This window comes from Homo sapiens, chromosome 11, assembly GCF_000001405.40.
Source record: "Homo sapiens chromosome 11, GRCh38.p14 Primary Assembly".
Lineage (NCBI taxonomy): Eukaryota > Metazoa > Chordata > Mammalia > Primates > Hominidae > Homo > Homo sapiens.
This window is the reverse complement of record NC_000011.10, coordinates 1,343,591-1,349,876: the sequence shown is the minus strand read 5'-3', so window position 1 is coordinate 1,349,876 and position 6,286 is coordinate 1,343,591. Positions and strand designations below refer to the sequence as shown.

Below are 6,286 nucleotides of genomic sequence, written 5' to 3'. Positions count from 1 at the left end.
GGCCATCGTTCCCTCTGTCGGGGGCTTTGACTGCCGGAGAAGAGGGAAGGGAGGAGTTATCCGGCAGGACCAGGGTGGGCACAGGTGGCCTCTGAGACCCTGTCTTTGTGCGTTGCTCTCCATGCAGCGACGTGGCTGGAAAACCAGAGCCCTCGCCAGGAGAGAGTGAGGCTTGACAGACAGCGCCTCTCCCTCCGCAGGGCACCGGCCCTGAGATGGTACAGGAGCAAATCTACCCACTGGGCCCCAGGCTGGCCGCCGCATAGGAGGGGCTGGGTCGGCCGAGACGTCTCAGAGGGAAGCTGGAGTCCCCGGAAGGTTCTGGTCCAGAGGCCCAGTGGAGGGACACACAGACCCACCCCCGAGAGCACTGAATTTGGGTCAGCGCCTGGGCCATCTGCAGCCCCGAAGCCCACACCCTGGGGTCTCCAAGCCCCCCCCAGCACAGGCTAGCGGCTCCAGGCAGAGGCTTTTCTTCCTGAGGGGTGTCTACCCGGCCCCCCGGCCTGCAGGGCAGAGTCACAGCGCAGGGCTGGCAGGCCTGGCAGGGAGGACAAAGGGACAGAGGCCGAGTCAAGACGTTGTGTCTCCCGAGCAGACGGAGCAGGTGGGGCCTCAGGCCTCCAGGGCCGCAGGAGTCATCCATCAAACTGAGTGCCCCTCATTGAAATTCTAACGGCAATGCGGCCACAGGCAGGGCTCCTCCAGGGCATGCCCTCCCTGCCTGCCTGGTGCTCCTGAGAGCCAGACCCAGGTCACAAGGTCATGAGGCCGCACGCAGAGGCCATCCCCGGGGAGCTCCGGGTGGGCGCCCTGCATGGCCTTCCTGAGGACCACACGCCCCTCCCCCAGACGCTGGACAGACACACTTCTCATGGGGAGCTGGGTTTTTCTCGGGTTCTCGGTGCCCACATGGCTCTGCCGTATATGATAAAGCATGTCCTTTGCCACCAGCTAGTGCTTTGTGTGTGTGAGTTAATCTCCCCTCCCGGGCGGAAGGATGCCGCCCTCCCCAAGCTCCCCACACGGGTCGGCCCACCCACGACCAGGGTCGGCCGCCCAGCCTGATCCACATGTAGGACCCAGCTTGGCCCCCTGTGCTCATGCAGAGTCTTGCTTTTCATTTAGTTCAGAAGGTGGGTAGGGAAGAGAGGGCTGGGGTTGATCCCTCCAGCCTCCCACAGTGTCTGAGGACCAGAGAGGGGCCCTGTGATACAGAGAGAGGGTGACGTAGAAGGGGGTGCGGTTTGCAGAACAGGCTCCTGCCAGCTGTGGCAAGGACTTGGGGTTTTATTCCAAAGGAACTCCCAACTAATCATTAGCCAGAAACACAGAATCTGGGTCATGACCCCTGCTTGGTCCCCAGCATTGTTTGGAAGTGGAGGTGAGGATGGGGGAAAGTCACAAGCGTTCCTGGCACTCTTTCTGCTTAAGCAGTGGGTGGCTGGTGGTTCTATTTACAGAGATGGTGGGGTTGAGTCTGGGGCCCTGTGGGTAGATGGGGCTGAAGACCCGGCGTGGGAAGCGAACCACAGACATGAGTGACTGTGACGGCGCTACTGACAGCCGGCATCTGGAGTGTAACATGCCAGGCATCGTCCCCGCACTTACACGGATTGTTCATGAATCCTGCTCTGCAAGCGTCTCCCTCCTATTGGAGGGAATCTCCTCAAATGAGGCCATTCCTATAACTAAGGAGGGTTGACCAGGCCCCTGAGGAGGCCGCAAGACCTCTGGAGAGGCCACAAGACTCCTGAGGAGGCCAGGAACTCCGAAGAGAAAGGGAGTGCCAGCTGAGCATGGAAAACTCAGCAAAGATGTCTTTCAAAACTGTTTCTTTGCTGTGAGGCCAGCGTGTGTCAGTGGGGTCCTCTGGACCAGCTGAGTCAACAGTTTCGTAGGTATGCAGGACCTGAAGGAATTTTTTTTTTTTGAGACGGAGTCTCCCTCTGTCACCCAGACTGGAGTGCAATGGTGCGATCTTGGCTCACTGCAGCCTCCACCTCCCGGGTTCATGCAATTCTCCTGCCTCAGCCTCCTGAGTAGCTGGGATCACAGGCACCTGCCACCAGGCCCAGCTAATGTTTGCATTTTTAGTAGAGATGGGTGGTTTTGGCCAGGCTGGTCTCAAACTCCTGACCTCAAGTGATCCACCTGTCTCGGCCTCCCAAAGTGCTGGGATGACAGGCGTGAGACACCATGCCTGGTCCGTACCCACCTTCTGAACCAAATGAAAACCAAGACACAGCCGCCACCCCATGAGGCCAAGCCGGGTCCCACGTGCGTATCTGCTGGGTGACTGCCCCGGTCCTGGGCACACATGCAGATGATCCGTGACGTGCTGTACACTGACAGGGCCACAGACAAACGTCACGTTTATTCCATCCCGGCGGACATGGAAAAGCACTGGACAAAACCCATCACCCACTTGTGATAAAAATTCTCCCACCAGGGCCAGGAAGGAGAAAGGGCAGCTCCGTGTACACCGACTCTTCACTCAGCGAATTGTTCGTGTGCGTCACTGTGGGCTCGCGGCTTTTTATTCTGTGGGTTACAATCCAGTAAACTATCACCCGGCGCGTGGGAGCTTTCATCTTGACTCCCAGGTCCCCTCCCCACAAGCCCTGCTCCCGTTCACGCATTTCCTCACGTTCCGGGACTGTGAGTGCTCCAAGCTCAGCCTGACGTTTCCCTGCCCCGGCCTTGGTGCCAGCCGAGACTCCGAGGCCTGTGGGGTCCTCTCACTGGAGGGTGACGTCGGGGACCGAGACCTGCACCCTGTGCTTCCTTTGGTACTGGGGTATCCCGGTGTCTAGGCCCTCTTGGTGGACAGAGCCAGAAGATGCATGCCTGTGTACTCACCCCCATGCACAAACAATCTACATGTGTGTAGATTGACCGTGTGAGCTCATGCTGCTGCCACCCACCCTAGGGCACACGTCCATCCTCGCCCACCCCAGCAGCACCGGCCCCTCCTCACCCACCTCAGGGGCATGGGCCCTGTCCTCACCCACCCCAGCAGCACACACCCCATCCTCACCCACCCCAGGGCACACATCCATCCTCGCCCACCCCAGCGGCATGGGCCCCTCCTCACCCACCCCAGGGGCATGGGCCCTGTCCTCACCCACCCCAACAGCACACGCCCCCTCCTCACCAGCACATGCCCCCTCCTCACCCACCCCAGGGCACACATCCATCCTCACCCACCCCAGGGCACGTGCCCCATCCTCACCCACCCCAGGGCACACGTCCATCCTCACCCACCCCAGGGCACACGTCCATCCTCACCCACCCCAGGGCACACGCCCATCCTCACCCACCCCAGGACACACGTCCATCCTCGCCCACCCCAGTGACACGGGCCCCTCCTCACCCACCCCAGGGCACACGCCCATCCTCACCCACCCCAGACGCATGGGCCCTGTCCTCACCCACCCCAGGGCACACGTCCATCCTCACCCACCCCAGCGGCACGTGCCCCATCCTCGCTCACCCAAGTGGCACACGCCCATCCTCACCCACCCCAGGGCATGCGCCCATCCTCACCCACCCCAGGGCACACGCCCATCCTCACCCACCCCAGCAGCGCGGGTCCCTCCATGCCCACCCCAGCAGTGCAGGCCTGTTCTCGTCCGCCGCTTTACCTGTTGCATCTCTTGTCTGAAGAAACCTGGCTTTCACACCTTCACCTGCTTGTCTAGTCCCAGCTGCGGGTGAACTGGCTCCAGACTTGCTGATACACCCCCGTGAGGGACAGACCCACCACCCAGAGCCTGGCATCCATGCACAGCGTGTCTTGTCTTCAGCCTCACCTTCAGCGTCCAGTCAACGCTGTCCCCGCGGTGACTTCAGGCGTTCCTTTACTTCTCGACTTCCTTCAGTGTGACTGTGTCATTCCTCTGCAATATGGTCACATTCATCTGTTGGGTGGATGTGGTTAACCCTTGAACGATGCAGGCTGAGGGGCAATGACGCTTGCACAGAGAAAACCCACATAGAACTTCTTTGACAGGGTCTTGCTGTGTCACCCAGGCTGGAGTATAATGGTGCAATCTCAGCTCACTGCAGCCTCGAAATCCTGGGCCCAAGGGATACTTCCTCCTCAGTCTCCCAAGTAGCTGGGACCGAAGGTGCACGCCACCACACCCGGCTAATGTTTGTGTTTTGTAGAGATGGGGTCTCCTTTCATTGCCCTGGCTGGTCTTGAACTCCCGGGCTTAAGTGGTCCTCCTGCCTTGGCCTCCAAAAGTGCTGGGATTACAGGCATGAGCAACCGCGCCCAGCCTGATTCCCTAAAACTTAACTGTTAGTAGCTTATTGTTGACCGGAAGCCTTCCCCAATAACATAAACAGTTGATGAACAGATATTTTGTATGTTATATATGTTATCTACTGTATTCTTACAATCAAGTAAACCGGAAAAAAGAACGTTATTTAAAAACTCATAAGGAAGATAAAATATATTCACTAAGTGGAAGTGGATCATCATCAATGCCCTCATCCGTGTCGGCTTCACATTGAGTGGGCTGAGGAGCAAGGGCTGGTCTTGCTGTCTCAGGGGTGGCAGAGGCGGGACAAAGTCTTTGTCCAAACGGACACTGGGTTATTAGCCAGCACCATTTATTCAAAATTCCAGCCTTGCCCCTGTGACTTGTGCAGCTACCCGTGTCCTGGGGTCTCCTGTCTGCAGGCCTGGGGCATCTGCACCTGCAGCCACCCATGTCCTGGGGTCTCCTGTCTGCAGGCCTGGGGCATCTGCACCTGCACCAGACACAGTTTCTTTCTTTTTTCTTGTGGGGGGGACAGAGTCTTGCTCTGTCGCCCAGGCTGGAGTGTACTGGTGGGATCTCGGCTCACTGCAAGCTCTGCCTCCCGGGTTCACGCCACTCTCCTGCCTCAGCCTCCTGAGTAGCTGGGACTACAGGCGCCCGCCACTACGCCCAGCTAATATTTTTGTATTTTTAGTAGAAACGGGGTTTCACCATGTTAGCCAGGATGGTCTCGATCTCCTGACCTCGTGATCCGCCCACCTTCACCTCCCAAAGTGCTGGGATTACAGGCGTGAGCCACCGTGCCCAGCCTGCACCATCCACAGTTTCTGCCTTGAGGTTTCAAGGAGTGTTCTGTCTGCTAGTGTGTTCCCACCTCTTCTTACCTGAGTGCTTTCCTGTAAAAACTTTGCTATCAACCCGTCTAACTCCATAAAACTGCAAAAAAGGTGTGGGGACCTTTGCGGCATTGCACTGACCTCGCCTGATGCTTGGCCCCACGTACATCTGCTCGGTACCACTCAGGCCTCCTTTCGGGGTCTTAAGGTTTTCCCTAGACACATTTCAGCATTTCTCAAAACGGTGGCCCACTGACACCGCCGGGGTTTTCTTCTGAGCGGCTGCTGACAATTTTGCAAATTCTAATGCTGGCACTTAAGAAAAAATCTCACTGAAAGGTGTTAAGCCAGGCTTCAGCCAGGGGCAGGACTTGTGTTCCTTCTCCAAATTGTCCTGAAATGGCGTTTTGCAAGACACCTGCCGAGGGCCACTGCTGTCCAGCCTCGCCCAAGGAGGAGCCGCCCAGGTGGAAACTGCCAACCGTGCCCGTGTCAGCTGTCCTAGGCAGTGCGATGACAGTCGTTAGGAGATGGCGTCCACAGCAACGTGGAAAATCCATGCCTGAGGAGTCACCGACCCAGGACCCCGTGAGCATGCGACCCGTAGAAATGGCATCCGTGCGTGCACCACGTTAGCAAAGGAAGGAAGAAAATCGCACACTCATCTCCACAGATGCCAAAAGTGCTTTTGATAAAATCCAACATTCATTCATGGGTTTTTTAAAAAACAACAAGAAAACCTAGCAGACCAGGAGTAGCAGGAAACATCCCCAGCGTAACTGTGGGTGAGGCACAGGAGCCGTCCCTGACGGCGGGAACAAGGCTGGGGGCCTGGTGTCGCGCTGTGTGCGGCGCTGGGCTGAATTCCAGTGCCCAAAAGAAGAGAGATTAGAGGAGAAAGCAAGGTGATGGCGTCACACAGGACGTGGTTGGGTGTGTAGAAGACGCAGAAGAACCTCACGTCCCGGGCTGAACTGGGACCCCCGCCCTGCACTCGGATGTTACAGCCCTGACCCCAGGACTTCAGAGGTGACCCCCGGGACCTCAGAGGTGACCCCCGCCCTGCTCTCGGACACTACAGCCCTGATCCCCAGGACCTCAGAGGTGACCTTATTTGGAGATAGGGCCTTGCAGATATAATGAAGTTAAAGTGAAGCTATCAGGGTGGGCCCTAAT

At 57.9% G+C, this 6,286-nt stretch overlaps 1 annotated feature.

The window, feature by feature from the left end:
* Nucleotides 751–1,303: an enhancer, noted in NCBI's record as "H3K27ac-H3K4me1 hESC enhancer chr11:1369804-1370356 (GRCh37/hg19 assembly coordinates)". NCBI's record gives its function as "activates a minimal SCP1, AML or CMV promoter by ChIP-STARR-seq in naive H9 embryonic stem cells {active_cell/tissue: H9 hESC(naive)}" and the evidence as "EXISTENCE:reporter gene assay evidence [ECO:0000049][PMID:30033119]".